Raw genomic sequence first — 20,517 nt, 5'->3', positions numbered from 1 at the left:
TCTTGGGATTATTGGAATTATACAGCTATAAGTAGCTTCTTTCAAAATATAGATTGTAGGCTTCTATCAAAGACCATCATTTGTATCACCTGAGCATTCAATCCTATGTAGGCTTATTTTGCTTTAAAGTTCAATATAGCAACTCTACAAATTGTTTGCTCAGTTTCTCAATACCAAAATTTTGCAGCTGGGTGCATCGAATGGGTTATGGAGATTGTCCTCCCTCCCCTCTCACCTCTAGAAGTAGTTGCTCCCGCTTACTGGATGAGGCAGTGGGGAGGGCGGCCCATGAAGGAAGCTTGTACAGCCACTGCCTTTGTCATATTTCCTCTGTGAAGAAACAGAAGACTTCAGTTCCTGGGATTGGTTAAGCTCTAGAATAGAGAACTAAGGAACTACTTTGTATTTTCCTAAGAATCTCATCTCTCTTTGGGCAGAGCGCCATTGCAGCCAAACTGCTACACATTCTTTTTGCATCTTTGTCAGGAAACTGGAATGATAATAAACACAGGTAGCTTGTAATACACAATAAATTGAAGGAAGTTGGCACAGAGCAGAGAAAGACTCAAAGACTGAGGGAATGAGAAGGGGAAAAGCCAATGAAATAATAAATTATGTGCAATGGCCATACCAACCTTGACATTTTTAAAGATATTGCAAAGGTTTCCATGTTTATGATTAGAATTCACTTGAGGTCAATATGGCCAGTCATGAATTCATTCAACAAGTATTTTTCTTGAGCACTCACTATATGCTAAGCACTGTACCATGCACCAGCGATTAAACTCAAACACATACAAGACTGATTTCCTTACTGTCAAGGAACTGGAAGTCGACCAAGGAAGACAGGCAAGGAAAATTACAACATGTTAGACTCTTCTCTTAACTGACCTCCATGTAACAATGTGCTAATGAACACACTCCATTCTCCCTGTAGAACACACTGACTGAGGCCCACAGCACACTGAATGCTTTTGTCTAATAGACTGCTATCTAGTACTCTGCATTCTAAACTCCCCTGGATTAAGTAGAAATTTTACTAAGAATTGGTTATTTCTGTTTCCAAACCTTTTTTTTTTTTTTTTTTTTTTTTGAAGACAAGGTCTCACTCTGTCCCTAAGGCTAGAGTGCAGTGGCACGATCACAGCTCACTGCAACCTTGACCTCCTGGGCTCCAGCAATTCTCTCACCTCAGCCTCTTGAGTAGCTGAGACTACAGGTATGTGCAACCATGCCCAGCTAAATTTTTGTATTTTTTGTAGAGACACAGTTTTGCCGTGTTTCCCAGACTGGTCTCAAACTCCTGAGCTCAAGCGATCCACCCGCCTTGGCCTCCCAAAGTGCTGGGATTACAGGCATGAGCCACTACTCCCAGCCTCCAAAAATATTTATGACATTTGTACTTGATGCTGCAATTATGTAATTTAAGTATTATAAAAACTTAAGAGAATAGAAAAGTTGTTTCTACGGACACTGTCTCAGTCCATTTTGTGCTGCTACATCACAATACCCAAGACAGGTTAATTTATGAAGAACAGATTTCTTACAGTTTGGAGGCTGGGAAGTGCAAGATTGAGGGGCCCACATCTGGCAAGGGCCTTCATGCTGTGTCATCCCATGGCAGAAGGGCAAGAGAGCAAGAGGGGACTGAACTTGCTCCTATAACAAGCCCATTCTCACAGTAACTAACCTAACTACATAATGACACCAATCCATTCACGAGGAACCTGATGACCCAATCACCTCTTATTAGACCCCCATCTCCCAGTGTTTGCATTGGAGATTAAGTTTCGCCACATGAACTTTGTGAGACACATTCAACCCACAGCAAATATGATGAATCTTTCAGAAAGAATCAGTAAAAGCAGGCTGTTAAACAAAAAAATCCCTGCTGTTGAATTAGGAGGGGGTAAGAGAAAACAGATCTAGGAAGATTCTGCACTTGTATTGCTTTGAAAATGCTTTGCATTGCTTGTTCCACTTGAAGTGAAAACTCAGATTTAGAGAAGATTTGGATAACTTAGAGAAGATATACTACGGATGTGATTCATGCACTATTGTATGAAACACGAATCAGTAAGCCCAACTCAAAGAAAATGCCTGGGTCCTACTTCAGAAGAATGGCAACACCATCTTCCAATGCCTGTTGAAATGTATTGATTCAGGCAAAGAACATTAACAGATGCTAAAACTATTAGGGGGAGAGGTTGATGGAGAAAATAATATTTGTGTGGTGCTGAAGTATCACTCCACAGATCATTGCTAATCCCAAAGAAGAAAGCTTATCTCTAGAATGGAGCCAACTTGGCTGGGCGTGGTGGCTCACGCCTGTAATCCCAGCAATTTGGGAGGCCGAGGTGGGTGGATCACAAGGTCAGGAGATCAAGACCATCCTGGCCAACACGGTGAAACCCCACCTCTACTAAAATACAAAAATTAGCCGGGCATGGTGGCACATGCCTGTAATCCCAGCTACTTGGGAGGCTGAGGCAGGAGAATCGCTTGAACCAGGGAGTTGGAGGTTGCCGCGAGCGGAGATCACGCCACTGCACTCCAGCCTGGGTGACAGGGCGAGACGCTGTCTCAAAAATAAAAATAAAAAATAAATAAAATAGAACGGAGCCAACTGCAGTCACTACCTTAATCAAGTGATCAAATTTAAAATCATTAGTAGTGGATAACCAGACCATATGTACCACCTAAAGTATTGCACACCAAAATATATTTCATCCTTTATAAAGTATTACTGATGAAGGTGTTTAATGTAGTCAGGAATTTGGATCTAGCTTCCAGTGTACAGGAAATACATGGGATAGATAAATGAGTTAAATGATACAATGACAAAACAATCATACAAGCCCCAAATGTAGGGCACTCTACAAAACAACTAGCTTGGTTTCTTTAAAAAGCCAATATCGGCCGGGTGCGGTGGCTCACGCCTGTAATCCCAGCAATTTGGGAGGCTGAAGTGGGTCGATCACGAGGTCAGGAGATCAAGATCATCCTGACTAACACGGTGAAACCCCATCTCTACTAAAAATACAAAAAACTAGCCAGGCATGGTGGCACGCACCTGCAGTCCCAGCTGCTCGGGAGGCTGAGGCAGGAGAATCGCTTGAACCCGGGAGGCGGAGATTGCAGTGAGCCGAGATCACGCCACCGCATTCCAGCCTGGGTGACAGAGCAAGACTCCATCTCAAAAAAAATAAAAATAAAAATAAAAATAAATTTTGCTTGGTATTATCACAGTACTGTATTTGGTTACATCACAAAATGACTTTATTGCTTAGACTTATGAGGCATGAAATGGTATGTCTTGAATCTGTTTTGAAATATTTTTGCAAAGAAAAAAGATAAATGAAACCAATATAACAAAGCCATGATAGTTATTGAATTGGTAATGGGTATATTGTGGTTTATTGTCTATTTTCTCTACTTTTATATATACTTTAAACTTATTAAAAAGTCAGTATCATGAAAAAATACTCAATGTCATGAAAAAATGAGAGGAATTATTCTAGCTTAAAGACACCAAAAAAAGCATAATATCACAATGCAATGCAAAAATCTTGATTGCATCCTTGTTAGAAGAAAACCAACTACAAATGACATTTGTGGAACAATTGGGAAAATGTGAATATGGAGAGAGTAGTCAATGATTTTAGGGTACCCTAATTTTCTTAAGAGTGATGATGGAATTAGGTTATGTGGAAGAAGTATGCAAAAACAGTTTAGGATAAAGTATGATATCTGTAACTTTCTTTGAAATGGTTCAAAAAATTAAAAATTATCACATCTAAAAAATATATGTATATTCATTATACTAGTCTCAATTTTTACATTTTTGCACATTTTTATAATCAAAACAAGTTTGTCAAATGATTGCAAATTTGTTTTATTTCAAAATAATATTTAGGGTATATATAATTTTTAATGATTCCATCCTTTTGCTGACTTTGTTGTTTAATGGAAATCACATGGTCTGGATGTGTGTCCCCTCCAAATCTCTTGTTGAAATGTGATCCCCAATGTTGGAGATGGGGCCTAGTGAGAGGTACTGGATCATGGGGGTGGACTCCTCATGAATGGCTTAGTGCTATTCAGTTGGTGTTGGGTGAGTTCTTTTTTTGTGGGGATGGGGAGGGGGGAACAGAGTTTCACTCTTGTCGCCCAGGCTGGAGTGCAATGGCACGATCTCGGCTCACCAAAATCTCCGCCTCCCAGGTTCAAGCGATTCTCCTGCCTCAGCCTCCTGAGTAGCTGGGATTACAGGTACTCACCACCATGCCACACCCTCTATTTTTAGTAGAGATGGGGTTTCACCATTTTGGTTAGGCTGGTCTCGAACTCCTGACCTCAGGTGATCCACCTGCCGTCAGCCACCCAAAGTGTTGGGATTATAGGCATGAGCCACTGCGCCAGGCCCAGTGTTGGGCGAGTTCTTGCTCAGTTCACCCAAGATCTGATCATTTAAAAGAGTCTGGGACCTTGGCTGGGCATGGTGGCTTATGCCTGTAATCCCAGCACTCTGGGAGGCTAAGGCAGGTGAATTGCTTCAGTCCAGGAATTCAAGACCAGTTTGGGCAACATAGCGAAGCGCCCTCCCTACTAAAAAATACAAAAAATTAGCCGAGTGTGGTGGTGTGCACCTGTAATCCCAGCTACTTGAGAGGCTGAGGTAGGAGAATCACCTGAGCCCGGGAGGTCAATGCTGCAGTGAACTGAAATCATGCCACTGCACTCCAGCCTGGGCAACCACAGTAAGACCCTGTCTCAAAAAAAAATAAAGAGTCTGAACCTTCTCCTCCTTTCTCTTGCTCTCTCTCTTGCCATGTGATACATCTGCTCCCCCTTTGCCTTTCACCATGATCGTAAACTTCCTGAGACCCTCACCAGGAGCAGATGCCAGTGCCATGCTTCCTGTACAGCCTGCAGAACCATATGCCAAAATAAACCTTTTTTCTTTATAAATTACCCAGTCTCAGGTACTCCTTTACAGCAATGCAAATGGACTAATACATGAATCAACTAAGGGTAAGACAGGAGAGGACCCAGAAGGTGGTGTGATGATAAAAGTTTAACAGCCAGCTCTCTGGAAAAAGCTGATTTGTAGCATTTGGCAATTTCCATGGTGTAAGTATTCCTACCATGGCTGATCCCAAGTTATTAACAGTGTCACTAAACAGAGTTGGAAAGAGATAAGCACAATCAGTTTTTTAAGCCGGTATAGGATCCAGTTCTAACATCACTGGATCCAGACCATAGCAGGGGGACACCTTGTCTATAAGGTCACCAGCTGACAATAGGGGATGAAGAAGAAAGAGTTTAAACACAGGAAAAAAAGTATGATAGGATCTTCCTCAAAGAGCTGCTTTGAAGATTAAATAAATTACATATAAAATACTCAGCACAATGCTTGGCATATGAAATAATGACTAACTTACTAAGAACCTTCTATTACTATCATTTCCTAACCTGATCCAAAATCTAAAAGGTCATCTCAACAACTACAAACCCTAAGAAAAAGTTCCAAATCAGCACGCCCAGCTGACGCGGTAGAAACTGCAGTTTCACAGGTCTGTTTATATAAGAAGTCAGAATTGTGGCTGCTTCAGTCCCATGATGAAATTCCTATGACGCTTTCACTCACTCAGAATGCCACGTCTCACTTAAACACATTCATCAAAGATGAACAGAACTCTCTCTGACCTTAAAGAATTCTAATTTGGCCTTCAAAACCTTCTTTACCAGGAATTGATCTAACCATAGGCAACTATCTTTGGCTAAGATTACTACATATACATACACACATATATATTCACACATACACGGCAGAAGTAATTCTTACCTCTAGGAACCAGTATTTTCTCAAAAATTTGCTAGAAAATATTTTGTTCAATGACTCCTGTTTTGAAACCATAGAGTTGTATTCTGGGGGAAAGAGTCCATAGAAAAAGGAGAACACCGACAATGTTGCCCTTTAACCCGGATGATTAACAATGAAGTCCAACTCTCGGCAGGACTCTGTTTCCTACAGCAGGAGTCAAGGGAAGCAGCAGAAGTCAAGAGGGAACTGTGGGAGCAAGACTATCACCCTACAGGTCTCACTCATTGTCAAAATCGAGCGAAAGCGCCAGAACTCTGGCGTTTCGGGTAAGACCACTCCTCCCCCTGCCCCTCAATACTCACAGCCTCTCCATTATTGTCTGTCTTAGCACCATCAGGACTAATTTCATCGACTCACCACAAGAAGCCCGGGACTCCAAGGCCATCCCTTATTTTTCAGCAGCCTTGGTGGTCTCCTCACACACACACATTCGACGGGACTCTGCTGAAGACTCAGGAATGCGCCGCATTTCTCTGGGAGGTGTGCAGTGCATTCTTCCAAGGTTCTGGGAATTCTACTCTCTTTGGTTTCCTTACATTCTCCACTCTGTCTCCTTCGTCAGGGAGGCTGTGGGGCTCCATTTAGCCTGTCCCTCCTTGCCCTGTGATCTCCAGTCGGTCAGCTGGGACAATCACGGGGGCTCACTTTTCTCCCAAGCACTGCCTTCTCTCCCGCCTTGCCTGTTGTCTAGTGTCTAAAAACCACTGTTTCAGGATATTCTGCATAGTTTCCTTGTTAAGGAAAGGGCATAAAATCTGGGCCCTGTTACTCCACCATAGGGAGAAGCAAAGGTCTCTTCTCATGTTTTATATTTTCAATCTTAACTTAGTCACTCTCTTCTATGATCACTCCATTGACCTTGTCATTCACAATTACTACAACCTATCCATTATCTCACTTCCAAACATCCCCTCTCCAGCCAATACCTATATCTTTACAGATCCCTCCTGTTAGTACCAATTCCAACAAGCCTTTGCCTGGTTTTCAATCCACTGTTCCTACACCCTCATGCGCCCTTCGCCCCTTCCCAGTCTAGCTTTCATTCATTCTACTGTCAATAATTCTAATCAGACCCTCAACTCCCTTTCCCCTCTCACCTCATCTTATTTGCCTGGCCACACCACAACCTGTCTTAAATCCAACTCACTACCTAAGAAACAGTATGAAATTTATACTTTTATCTTGTTTATTATCTTATATCCCACTAGAAAGAAAGTTCTACTAGGGCAGGGATTCTCATCTGTTATTGTTTATTGTTGTATTCCCAAAGCTTAAAACAATTATCAACCCATGGAAAATACTGATTAAATATTGGTTGAATGGATTAATTAATATAACCCAAAGCTCAAAACAAGAATTCAAAAGTGCTCATGCCTGTAATCCCAGCACTTTGGGAGGCTGACGCAAGCGGATCACCTGAGGTCAGGATTTTGAGACCAGCCTGGCCAACATGGTGAAACCCCATCCCTACTAAAAATACAAAAATTAGCTGGGCGTGGTGGTGGGTGTCTGTAATCCCAGCTACTCGGGAGACTAAGGCAGGAGAATCGCTTGAACCCAGGAGGCGGAGGTTGCAGTGAGCTGAGATCGCACCATTGCATTTCTAGTCTGGGTGACAGAGCAAGCCTCTGTCTCAGACGAAAAAAAAAAAGAACAAAAATGCAAGATTGAAAACCTGAAATAAAATGGCTAAAAAAGTCAAAATATAGAAATATTTTATAATTGCTATGAAAGAGTTGAACTCACTGACATACTAATAACTTAAGAAAAAAACCACACGAGTAACACATGTTCGTTGTAGAGAATCCATGGGGGAGTAATTTGGAAAACAATTAGAACCTAATGGAAAAATTGAAAATCATTCATAATACTACCTTTCAGACATTTTTTTCCAAAGTGTGTGTGTCTTACATATTTTTTTCACAATAATTACCTCTTTCACTTAAGTCTTGAAAGTCTCTTCATATCAATATAGAACCTTATTACGATTTTTAGTGGCTGAATAGTTCAATTTATGCATATCTAACAATTATGGCTATAGAACAGTGTATTTAAATTCCTCTGTGTTAGATATTTCCATTGTTTCCAATGATTCATTCTATCATATGTTTAATAGTTGCTCCTGGTAAAACTATTCCTTCCCTTAACCGCCACCTCCACAGGATTGGGAGGAGGCCACAGAATGCTACATGGTGAGACGCCTCCATCATCACAGGCTTTCCTCTCCCAGATAATCTGCATTAGCACACCCAAAGGCTGAAATACCTCCCATCTTTAAAAATGAAAAACTTCTCCATGTCCCCTATCTGGTTCCTGCTATCACTCTACTTTACTTCTCTTTACACCAAAAGCCTTAGGAGAGCTGTCTCTATTCACTGTCCCCACTTGCTCAACTTTCATTTCTCTTCCACATGCTCCAAATTAGTCTTGTCCAATAGAACCCCTCTTGTGATCTCCATGACCTCTCATTTTGCTAAATACAATGATTCTTAGCCCTCATCTTGTTCAGTATTTCATTACTCTTTTTTTTTTTTTTTTTGAGACAGGGTCTCACTATGTCGCCCAGGCTGGAGTGCAGTGGTGCTATAATGGCTTACTGCAGTCTCAACCTCCCTGGCTCAGGTGATCCTCCCAACTCAGCCTCCTGAGTAGCTGGGACTACAGGTGTATGCCACCACATCTGAATAAGTTTTTCTATTTTTAGTAGGGATGGGATCTCGCCGTGCTGCCCAGGCTGGTCTCTAACTCCTGGGCTCAAGTGATCTGCCTGCCTCAGCCTCCCAAAGTGCTGGGATTACAGGCGTGAGCCACTGCACCCGGCCGTAAATATCCTTTTAAGAAAGGAGTAAACAGGCCAGGTACAGCGGCTCACGCCTGTAATCCCAGCACTTTGGGAGGCTGAGGTGGTAGATCACAAGTTCAGGAGATCGAGACCATCCTGGCCAACATGGTGAAACCCGACCTCTACTAAAAATACAAAAATTAGGAGGGCGTGGTGGCTCATGCCTGTAATCCCAGCTACTCGGGGGGCTGAGGGAGGAGAATCACTTGAACCCGAGAGTTGGAGGTTGCAGTGAGTGCAAGAGGGAGACTCCATCTCAAAAAAAAAAAAAAAAAAAAAGGAAAGAAGAGTATATTTACCTTGCTTCCACCATATTTTCCTGGTTCTCCTTAGTGGAGATTCCACCTCAATCCTCTGTACTAGCTTCTCATTCCTGACCTCTAAAAATCAGAGCACTCTTGAACCTCCACTTTTGGATCTCTTTTCTTCTGTCTATACTTCTTCATTTGAGTAATGATCTCATTTTGTCTCAAAATTTTCATTATCTATCTGCTGGTGATCTTTTATGTCTCCCTCCAGATCATTCCTCTGAATTCTGGATTTATACATCCAATTGCCTACTTAGTATCTCCACTGGCTGTCTACCAAGCATATCACACTTTCTTTCTCTAAATATGTTCCTCCTTTAAGGAGGGGAAGGATGCATTAACATCTACCCAGTTGTTCAAGCCAAAAACCTAGGCCTCATCCTTACCTCTTCTCTTTTTCTATCCAGAATCTGATTTTTTCTCACCACCCCCATACCTCTACCCTCTTGGTCCAAGTCACTATTCTTTCTCCCCTGAATTACAACAGCTTACTGATCTCTTTGTCTCACCCTTGCTCTCCACAGTAAGTCCTTTGCAGAAAAGCCAAAGTAATCTTTTCTAAAGGGTAAGATTCTGCCACTCCCCTGCTCAAAACTCTCCCAAACCTCCCCACTAGAGCAGCTCGTGAGGATCTTTATGGTGCCACAGCCCACCGATTTTGGCCTGGCGGCTTGCCTTTTTTTTTTTTTTTTTTGAGACAGATTCTTGCTCTGTCCCCCAGGCTGGAGAGCAATGGTGCTAACTTGGTTCACTGCAACCTCCACCTCCCAGGCTCAAGTGATTCTCCTGCCTCAGCCTCCCGAGTAGCTGGGATTACAGGTGCCCACTACCATGCCCAGCTAATCTGTATGTTTAGTAGAGACAGGGTTTCACCACATTGGCCAGGTTGGTCTTGAATTCCTGACCTCAGGTGATCCACCTGCCTCAGCCTCCCAAAGTGCTGGGATTACAGGTGTGAGTCACTGTGCCCAGCCTGGCTTGCCTTTCTCTAGGCACTTCTTGCTGTTTATCAAACACAGTCCTATCCAAGAAGAGTCTTTGCTCTTCCTGTCTCCACTTCTGGAAAGCAATTCCTCACATGTTCACACTCATTATCCCCCACTTCATTCAGGTCTCTTCTCAAATGTCACCTCCTCACAAGGCCTTTGCTGACCACTATCTAAAACAGTTCCCCTGCCCAGTCACTATGCCCTTTCTCTGCCATACATACCACCTGCCAGCATCTGATGTTTTGGTTCATATTTATTTGCTTAGTCTGCTCCCCACTTAGATACTGAAACCAAGAAGGCAGGGACATGACCTGATTCACTGCTGTCTCCTCCATGCCTAGAACGCTGTCTGCCACATAGTAGACACCTAATGACATCCTCCATCGTACGTCTTCATGCATTCGTCTACTAGCTGTTAATAATCCATCTTTTGCCACTCCTCCAGAAGTTATCAGACCAGAACATTAAAACATTAAGTTATTACAAAAGATTTCAGACACGACGAACAGCGTAAAAGAAAACAAACATCCACGTTCTTACCACCAAGCTTAAGGAATAAAACCTTTCCAAGTATTGTTGGGCCTCACAAATACCTACTCCACTGAGAGAACTTAACACCAGACTTGAAGAGAACCTGAAGGAGAAAAGTGTTTGATTCACCCTTTTTTAACCTGGTTAAAAAAAAAAAAAGGAAACAAAACTATATGACAAAGTACCCCCCGCCCAAAAAAAAAGCCCTATGTTGCAGTGAGATTGGGGCTTTTGGATGGAGGAAACAAAAGGAAGAAACAAACAACAGGGCAGGAAGCAGCAGGGGCCAGCAGAGCGTCTGAGGAGTAACACCCAGGAAAGGAGGCTACGGGCAAGAGTGAGGCAATGTGAAGAACTGGCCTCCATTCGCTGTCTTCCCTATTGAATGCTTGAACTATAGAAGGATCATCAAGTAGGCACTGAATGATTACAAACGAAGCCTGGCTTCAAGACCAGGATCGAATTGGTTAATACACATCCAGTTACATCATAGAAAGTTTAGACGACACTGTAATTTAATCACACCGCTTGGCATGGCAGCATATATCAAAACTGGCAAATAAGTATTGCAAATGACACAGGAAACAAGCTTGTGGCTTGAAAATAAGTGGGGGGTAGATGTAAGGCTTGTCTGCTCCCCACTTAGATACTGAATCCACGAAGGCAGGGACATGACCTGATTCACTGCCGTCTCCTCTGTGCCTAGAATGCTGTCTGCCACATAGTAGGACTTAAATAAGTCCTTTAAAAATCTTTTCAATATTTTGAAATATTGAAATATTGAAAAGATTTTTAAAGGATTAAAATTACACTGGAAACACCATGACCCATTAAAAAGAGATCTTTTAGAGCTTTGTCACTAGAGAACCGTATCAGTAATCCAACAGAAAAATTTGATATGCAATGAAATCACTAATGTATCTAACAGTACCTAATACTATTCTACCACAAAAGCAACTGGCTCCATGGAGAATAGCTGATTCTAGCCTTGGGGGAAGCGGGGGGCTTGGGGGCGTGGGAATCTAGATGGGGCTAGATCTTGTTTCTGTCAGAAAGTCTACAAAGGAGCCAGTTTAAAGGCTCAAATGACAATCTGACAATTCAGTTAAGATTCATCAGTCTTAATGGTACTTAAAAGGGGAGAAATCTTAAAAGCTGTAAGGGGGCAAGTAGAGATTAAAATCCAGCCAGGCCTGGGGTGAGCTTAACTTTGAGCTTTTGTAATTCATCTACCTAGAGGGGCACCTTTCTGAGTTTTTTGTTTGTTTTTTGTTGTTGTTTTTTTGAGATGGAGTCTTGCTCTCTTGCCCAGGTTGGAGTGCAGTGGCATGATCTCAGCTCACTGGAACTTCTACCTCCCGGGTTCAAGCGATTCTCCTGCTTCAGCCTCCCGAGTAGCTGGGATTACAGACGTGCAGCACTACGCCTGGCTAATCTTGTATTTTTAGTAGAGATGGGGTTTCACCACATTCGCCAGGCTGGTCTCGAACTCCCGATGTCAAGTGATCCACCCTCCTTGGCCTTCTAAAGTGCTGTGATTACAGGCGTGAGCCACTGCAGCCGGCCGGGCACCTTTCTGTTAATTCACACAAAGGTACTATTTGTGCTAGAGATGGTCCTCGGTATGGAATTATGACATACATGAGTTTCCAATAATTTGTAAGTGTTATAAATCAATCCAAATTATTACATGAGTATTTATTAGACACAGTTCTATCAGTGCAAATCAGTCAGTAAAGACACAGTTTGAGTAGGGTCTGCAGAATTCCATTCCCTCTAGAGCAGGTAAGAGATTGTGGTCAAAAATTGGGTAAGCACAAGAGGTACAGGCTTGGACAATCCCACCACTATGAAAGAGCTTAGCCCAATAAATAAGCCTCAAAGTTATTGACCCAGTCCTAAATCTCCACCCCCAAAACTCTATAGCAGGTTCGAAATGGTAATTTTGTCCACCTTGGTTGGGTAAATTTGTAACCCCTGAATGAATAAATGGTAGTGATATATTTGTATAAGTTGTATTTAAGCAAGTGTAATCATCATTTTTGTAACCATTACACTCATGAGTATATGTTCTGGTTTTTCAAATGTTTAAAATTCTTAAGAGACTATTTGACTTATTAAAGTTATGTAGTTGATTTACTGGAAGAAGTTTGAAGTGCCTGGGGATATCAGATATATTAAATTTGTAAGCATGTTTTGAAATGTTTAAGGAATTCTAGTCAAGTTTATAATTTTTTTTTTTTTTAAAGACAGGGTAGTGCTCTGCCACCCAGGCTGCAGTGCAGTGGCACAATCATAGATAACTGCAGCCCTGAACTGCTGGGTTCAAGTGATCCTCCCACCTCAGCCTCCCAAAGCTCTAGGATTATAGGCATGAGCCACTGCACCCAGCCTGTAAATGGTATTTAATAGAGGAATTTCATCTGTCAAATGTAAAAGCGCTTGAGCATCAGTCAAAAAACAAGCAAATAGGCATTTTTAATATTAACACCCAACTAAATTTTTCAGTGAATTTTTAAGTATATTTAAGGTTTAAAGAAAAGTGGGCTTTTAAAAATCATAATTTTAATAAGCTAAGCTCTGACCAAAGCATAAATAACTCAGGAACTGTCTGGCATAGCAGAATCGAGGGCTTTGCTCCAAATTCTCACCCGCTTGACCTTAGGCAAGTTACTCGAATTTTTGTGCCTCAGGGTCTCCATTTGTAAAATGAAATAATACTATTAATACCTACATCAAGACCCTTGTGAGGACTGAGTTAATATATACAAAGCACCAAGAACTGTTATTGAGTAAATTGCAGGTGCTTCATCAATGTTAGCTAGATTATCACCATCGTTAGTATCACTGATACCACCTGCCAAGGCTATGCATACTTTGAGGGCAAGGACAACGTCTTGTCTTTACATGCCTAACATTTAGCATGCTGCCTGGTACCCAATAGGCATGCAATTAATATTGCCTGAATTTAACTGAAGAGTCTAAAATTCTAGCTATCAGGGTATGACTTTCAAGCTGTAATGCGTAAAGAGAACCAACATGACAAATGGCAGGGGCAAAGATAAACAGGCCAATGAAAAACAAGATTTTATACAGTCAGAAAATACTGTTTCTTACAATTTGGAATGGTTCTTACTTACTCTAGGAGTTTCTCAGGTCCTAATTGTCTTAAGGGAATTTCTACTGGGATTAGACGATGAGAGCTCATCTAAATCTTGACCCTAGATCTAGAATTACACAGATTTAATACAGAATTTGAGCTGTCCCTCCAATAAATTTAATCTAACACAGTTTACTCTAGAATTAATTACTTAAACTTTTTCCAGTCACCATAACTTGTTTCTGAACTAAAGTATAATACAACCTTAACTCATTCAATCTAGGCACCCTTTTTATTTTCCATTGCTCTTGCAATTTTCCAGCAGTTTACTCTCATTTGAGTTCATTACCAGTACTCCAGATGGAAACTTTCCCTAATAGGTTGTTCCATTCACAGCGATTTAGAAAGCACTGTTTGCGTCACAGTTTTCGGCTTGGATAAAGGGAGCTGTTACTTCAAACCCCATTTCTTCTTGGTGTCCTGCAGTCAGTCACACCTGAGCGCACCCAGCACTCAGCCTGCCTTCTACTAACGACCTTTTAAAGCAAAATGCTTTAACCCACCAGGTAGCAGATTTCCCTTCCTTCCAGTGCACAGTAAGTCCATGCAGGCTATAATTCCTTCAACAGACATCAAATGACTGCAGTAACAGTAAAAAATAATTCACAATTACTGAGGGTGCTCTGCGTGCCAATGTGTTTGTATATCTTAATTATTCCAAGAACTCGTGAAGAAGAGACTATTTATCCCATTTTATAAATCACAAAACAGACTTAAAAAGGAACTAACATTCCCTGGGTTTTTATCCTTACTTTGAAGGTGTCTGGATTTGACAAAAACAGTGTCCTTTTGTAGAATAGGGCCCTATGAATTATTATCCTCATTTTATAAATATTAAATATCAAAGATTATACAGCTAAGAGGCACACAGAACCAGAATTCAAGTCTGTCTGATTCCAAGATCCACACTGTAGCTTATTTTGCTATGTTACCTATTCAATTTTATGAAGGTCTTTTGCAGCACACTCTTCTACTCTCAGCTAAGGAATGAAAAAACTGCCTAAAAAGGCTTACTTATTTCATATGGTACTTCTTTCTATGTTTGAAGCAAGATAGGAAAAGGAAAGAGAAGGAAGGAAAGGCTATGGTAAACTTTCTCTCCAAAGATTTGATAGCACTGGAGAATGTTCAGTATCTTTGGATCTGATAGGGTCTAAGAAAGGGTTCAGTACTTAACCATATTTCACTATAACTCTAGCCAGTGTGGTACAGACTGTTGTTGTAGAGAAGAGTTTATTCACCAAACTATATACTGAAAATGAAAACTCATTTGTCAAGGATTAGATCACTCATATAGGCAATAAGAATTTGTCTTTAAAAAAAAAAAAAAAAAAAAAAGTCTTGCTCTGTTTCCCAGGCTGGAGTGCAGTGGTGCAATCTCGGCTCACTGCAACCTTCGCCTCCCAGGTTCAAGCAATTCTCCTGCCTCAGCCTCCCAAGTAGCTGGGATTACAGGCACCCACCACCACGCCTGGATAATTTTTTTGTATTTTTAGTAGAATCAGGATTTCACCATGTAGGCCAGGCTGGTCTTGAACTCCTGACCTCAGGTGGTCTGCCGGCCTCGGCCTCCCAAAGTGCTGGGATTACAGGCGCGAGCCACCATGCCCAGCCTGGCAATAAGAAATTCTTAAACATTATCAATGATACCTAGGAAATTACATAAAATCTCTCCTACATTGGTGGTGGGGGTGTTAACTAATATAATTTCATTGGAGGGCAATTTGGCCAAATCTACAAAAATTGCAAATGCAGGTATCCCTTGATTCAGCAATTCTACTTCTAGGAATTTATCCTACAGGGAAACTTACATAAGCATAAAATGATGTGTAAACAATGAAATTCTTTGTTGTACTGTTAATATCCTGTATTTCTGGAAGGATATACAAGAATAACAATGGCTGCCTCTGAAGAGTGTGCTGATCTGATAGCAAGGGGAAGAATTTTCACTATATACTTCTCTGTGCTTTAAAAATTGTATACATTAGGCTGGGCATGGTGGCTCACACTTGTAATCTCAGCACTTTGGGAGGCCGAGGTGGGCAGATCACGAGGTCAGGAGTTCAAGACCAGCTTGGCCAACATGGTGAAACCCCGTCTCTACTAAAAATACAAAAATTAGCTGGGCATGGTGGCGCGTGCCTGTAGTCCCAGCTATTTGGGAGGTTGAGGCAGAAGAATCGCTTGAACGAACCTGGGAGGCAGAGGTTGCAGTGAGCCAAGATCACGCCACTACACTGCAGCCTGGGCAACAAGAGTGAAACTCCATCTCAAAAAAAAAAAATTATACATACACACACACACACACACACACACACACACACACACACAGTGCAAGTATTACTTATGCAAAAGAAAACTAAATAACAGTTACCAGTTGCTTTTTGCATTTTCTTTTCTCACTTCTCTCTGACAATCATAATTCCTAAGCTTTTCATTTAATTCTTGAAGCATTTTTTATAATACACTGTTTCTTAGATAGCTTATTTTGCTTTGCCAATGGCCATGGAATGCTTTTATTTTTTGAGATGGAGTCTTGCTCTGTTGCCCAGGCTGGAATGCAGTGGCACAATCTCAGCTTACTGCAACCTCTGCCTCCTGGGTTCAAATGATTCTCCTGCCTCAGCCTCCTGAGTAGCTGGGATTACAGGCACGCACCACCACACCTGGCTAATTTTTGTATTTTTAGTAGAGACAGGGTTTCATCATGTTGGTCAAGCTGGTCTCGAACTCCTGCCCTCGTGATCTGCCTGCCTCAGCCTCCTAAAGTGTTGAGATTACAGGCATGAGCCACTGTGCCCGGCCGGAATGCTTTTATTAAGCAAAGAAGCAACTCACTGACACACACCTTTCCTCAGTATGTGCAGATATTTACATCTTCCACATGCTACGCATTGTGGTGGATGTTTGAAATAAAAAGATATATAGTCCCTGCTTAAAGTTATGTCACAATTACTACTTTTTTCAAAATGAAATTTTTTCCCTCTGATTATGAGAAAGTAATACAGGGTAATTGCTCTGAAAAAACGAAAAAGTAATATAAAACATAAGAATATAAATATCACGGCCAGGCACGGTAGCTTACGCCTGTAATCCCAGCACCCTGGGAGGCTGGGGGGAGTGGATCACCTGTGGTCAGGATTTCAAGACCAGGCTGGCCAACATGGTGAAACCCTGTCTCTACTAAAAATACAAAAATTAGCTGGGCATGGTGGCGGGCGCCTATAATCCCAGCTACTCCGGACGCTGAGGCAGGAGAATCGCTTGAACCCAGGAGGCAAAGGTTACAGTGAGCCAATATCACACCACTGCACTCCAGCCTGGGCGAAAAAGGGAGACTGTCTCAAAAAAGAAAATAAAAATCATGTTAAATCCCACTACCCTTTAACATTTCAGTGTTTATCTGTCCAAAATTTTTCATTTCATTTCTTTTTAGAAACAAAAATGAGGCCAGGTACAGTGGCTCATGCCTATAATCCCAGCACTTTGAGAAGCCAAGGCAGGTGGATTGCTTGAGCCCATGAGTTCAACACCAGCCTGGGCAACATGGCGAAACCCCATCTCTACAAAAAATTAGCCGGGCATGGTGGCACATGCCTGTAGTCCCAGCTATCTGGGAGGCTGACGTGGGAGGATCACCTGACCCCAGGAGGTCCAGGCTGTAGTGCGCCATGATTGCACCACTGCACTCCAGTCTGGGTAACAGGGTGAAACTCTGTCTCCAGGGGAAAAAAATAAAAAAAAAAAAGATGGTCATATTATATATACTATTTTGCAATGTACATTTTCCTCTTGTATATGAACATGTTTCTATATTACGTTATTGAAATGTTTTAAATTGTTCTAAATCAAATATGCATATATAATTAAACATCCCCCAACTTGTTCCAACTTCTTTTAGCAGTCTTTTGTAATTATTTCCATCTCTCTAAATGTTTCTACCATTATTTGACATGATATTTTAATAAAATAATCTGTATTAGTGAAGTTTAATACGTTCTTCGCAATTTTTGTCTCTAATTGTGAAAAAAAAAAAAAGTCTTAAATTTCCTCCATTTGCATGTGACAGCCACAAATCCAGTCTGATGCAGGTGTGCTGTACTAATATAAATACCTTAAGAGGAACAGCAATAAACAAGGTAATCTTCCAAACAGTCAACAGCTCTTGATTACTACTTTTTCTGGATATATCTCATTTAGACACTGTCTATGGACTTCAACTCACTACAGATGATTTTCAATATCTCCCACCCTCTGGTTCTCCATTCTCCCAATATACTTTTTTTTTTTTTTTTTTTTTTTTGGAGACTCAGGCTAGAATGTAGTGGTATGATCATGGCTCACTGCAGCCTCCCACCTCCTGGGCTCAAGCGATCCTCCTGCCTCAGCCTTCCAAGGACCTGAGACTATAGGAACACACCATCATGCTCAGCTAATTTTTAAAAATTTTGTAGACAAGTGTCTCACGGTGTTGCCCAGGCTGGTCTCAAATTCCCAGGCTCAAGCGATATTCCCACCTTGGCTTCCCAAAGTGCTGTGACTAAAGGCGTCAGCCATCATACCCAGCCTAAAATCTAGTTATTGAGCAAAATTTTTCTGGTTCAATCCCAATTTTTTAGTTAACTCAAATGTCATAAACCAACAAGAAATTTCTCTTACAGAGAATAATTTGTATAAGTTAGTTGTGTTTTCCGTTTTTTTTGAGACGGAGTTTCAATCTTGTTGCCCAGGCTGGAATGCAATGGTGTGATCTTGGCCCAGCACAACCTCCGCCTCCTGGTTCAAGTGCTTCTCCTGCCTCAGCCTCCCAAGTAGCTGGGATAACAGGCATGCGCCACCACACCTGGCTACTTTTGTATTTTTAGTAGAGACAGGGTTTCTCCATGTTGGTCAGGCTGGTCTCAAACTCCTGACCTCAGGTCATCCGCCTGCCTCGGCCTCCCAAAGTGCTGGGATTACAGGTGTGGGCCACCGTGTCTGGCCATTAGCTGTATTTTTAAGAACTCTCAAAGTGTCCCACAGTTGAGTATATCAGGTTGTCTAAACTGACAGGCATTTAGCTCATATTATAAACTATACTACAATTATAAATGGGAACTCGAAAAATCTTGTTTTACAAATGCTTGGGAATGTGCATTTCAGAGTCCATATTTGTAGAAGTACAGTATGAGCATTTGGGTTTTTTTTTTTTTTTTTTTTGAGACAGGGTCTCGCTCTGTCACCCAGGCTGGAGTGAAGTGGCTTGATCTCGGCTCACAGCAGCCTCCGCCTCCCCGGTTCAAATGATTCTCCTGCTTCAGTCTCCCTGGTAGCTAGGACTACAGGCATGTGCCACCACGCCCGGCTAATTTTTGTATTTTTGGTAGAGATACAGTTTTGCCATGTTGGCCAGGATGGTCTCAAATTCCTGACCTCAAGTGATCCTCCTGCCTTGGCCTCCCAAAGTGCTGGGATCACAAGTGTGAGGCACCACCCCGGCCAAAAGTTAAACACTTGAAACTCATTTAATTTCTGACAGAGTATTTCTAATCCAAAGCTAGTCTATACACAGTGGTGACAGCAAGGGTGGCTTCTCAAGTATACAACACATGCCATCACACAAGCCCCATGTTTGGAAGGGCCTGCACTTGGTATAAAGCTTTGCCACTGTTTTGAAATTCTTAATGTTTGAGGAAAGTATTTCACATTTTCATCTTGCCCTGGGTCCTACAAATTACACAGTTGATCCTGAGTGACAGTGAGGTACAGCCCCCTGCCCAATAGTAATTTGAAGCTAAGATAAATAAAGGTTTCTCTCTAGAATCAAACATGGAAACTGGTTTAAAAAAAAAAAAATCCTCCAGCAATCTAACACAAGATATTGTAAATATGTGACTGAAGAGATCCAGAACACAAACTCTACTCAGTGGGATTTAGGAGCAATTTCAGAGACATAGAGCAAAAATGTGATTATTTTAGTGAAGAGAAATTGTTGTGGGAAGTCAGGGACCCCGAACGGAGGGACCGGCTGGAGCCGCGGCAGAGGAACAGAAATTGTGAAGATTTCATTTTAATACGGACATATATCAGTTCCCCAAATTAATACTTTTATAATTTCTTAACGCCTGTCTTATTTTAATCTCTTAATCCTGTTATCTTCATAAGCTGAGGATGTACGTCACCTCAGGACCACTGTGATAATTGTATCTAACTGTACAAACTGATTGTAAAACAAGTGAGTTTGAACAATATGAAATCAGTGCACCTTGAAAAAGAACAGAATAACAGTGATTTTCAGGGAACAAGGGAAGACAACCATAAGGTCTGACTGCCTGCGGGGTCAGGCAGAATAGAGCCATATTTTTCTTCTTGCAGAGAGCCTATAAACGGATGTGCAAGTAGGGAAGATATCGCGAATTATTTTCCTAGGAAGGAATATTAATAATTAAGACCCTGGGAAAGGAATGCATTCCTGGGGGGAGGTCTATAAATGGCCGCTCTGGGAGTGTCTGTCTTACGTGGTTGAGATAAGGACTGACATACACCCTGGTCTCCTGCAGTACCCTCAGGATTATTAGGGTGGGAAAGAAACCCCACCCTGGTAAATCTGAGGTCAGACCGGTTCTCTGCTCTGGAGCCCTGTTTTCTGTTAAGATGTTTCTCAAGACAACATGTGTACCACTGAACATAGACCCTTATCAGGAGTTTGATTTTGCCCTGGTCCTGTTTCCTCAAAATCATGTGATCTTTGTTCTCTTGTTTGCCCTTTGAAGCATGTGATCTTTGTGACCTACTCCCTGTTCGTACAGGCCCTCCCTGCT

The 20,517-nt window shown here is 41.7% G+C and overlaps 1 protein-coding gene across 2 annotated transcripts in view; it reads right to left on the bottom strand.

Annotated features, from left to right (window-relative positions):
• The window catches only part of CNNM2 (cyclin and CBS domain divalent metal cation transport mediator 2), a 171,929-nt gene that overhangs the window by 62,528 nt on the left and 88,884 nt on the right, over nt 1-20,517 (bottom strand). The gene's annotated exons all lie outside the window — the stretch shown is intronic.

The sequence above is a fragment of the Homo sapiens genome, chromosome 10 (assembly GCF_000001405.40).
Source record: "Homo sapiens chromosome 10, GRCh38.p14 Primary Assembly".
Classification (NCBI taxonomy): Eukaryota; Metazoa; Chordata; class Mammalia; order Primates; family Hominidae; genus Homo; species Homo sapiens.
This window is presented reverse-complemented; position numbering and strand designations above follow the sequence as displayed.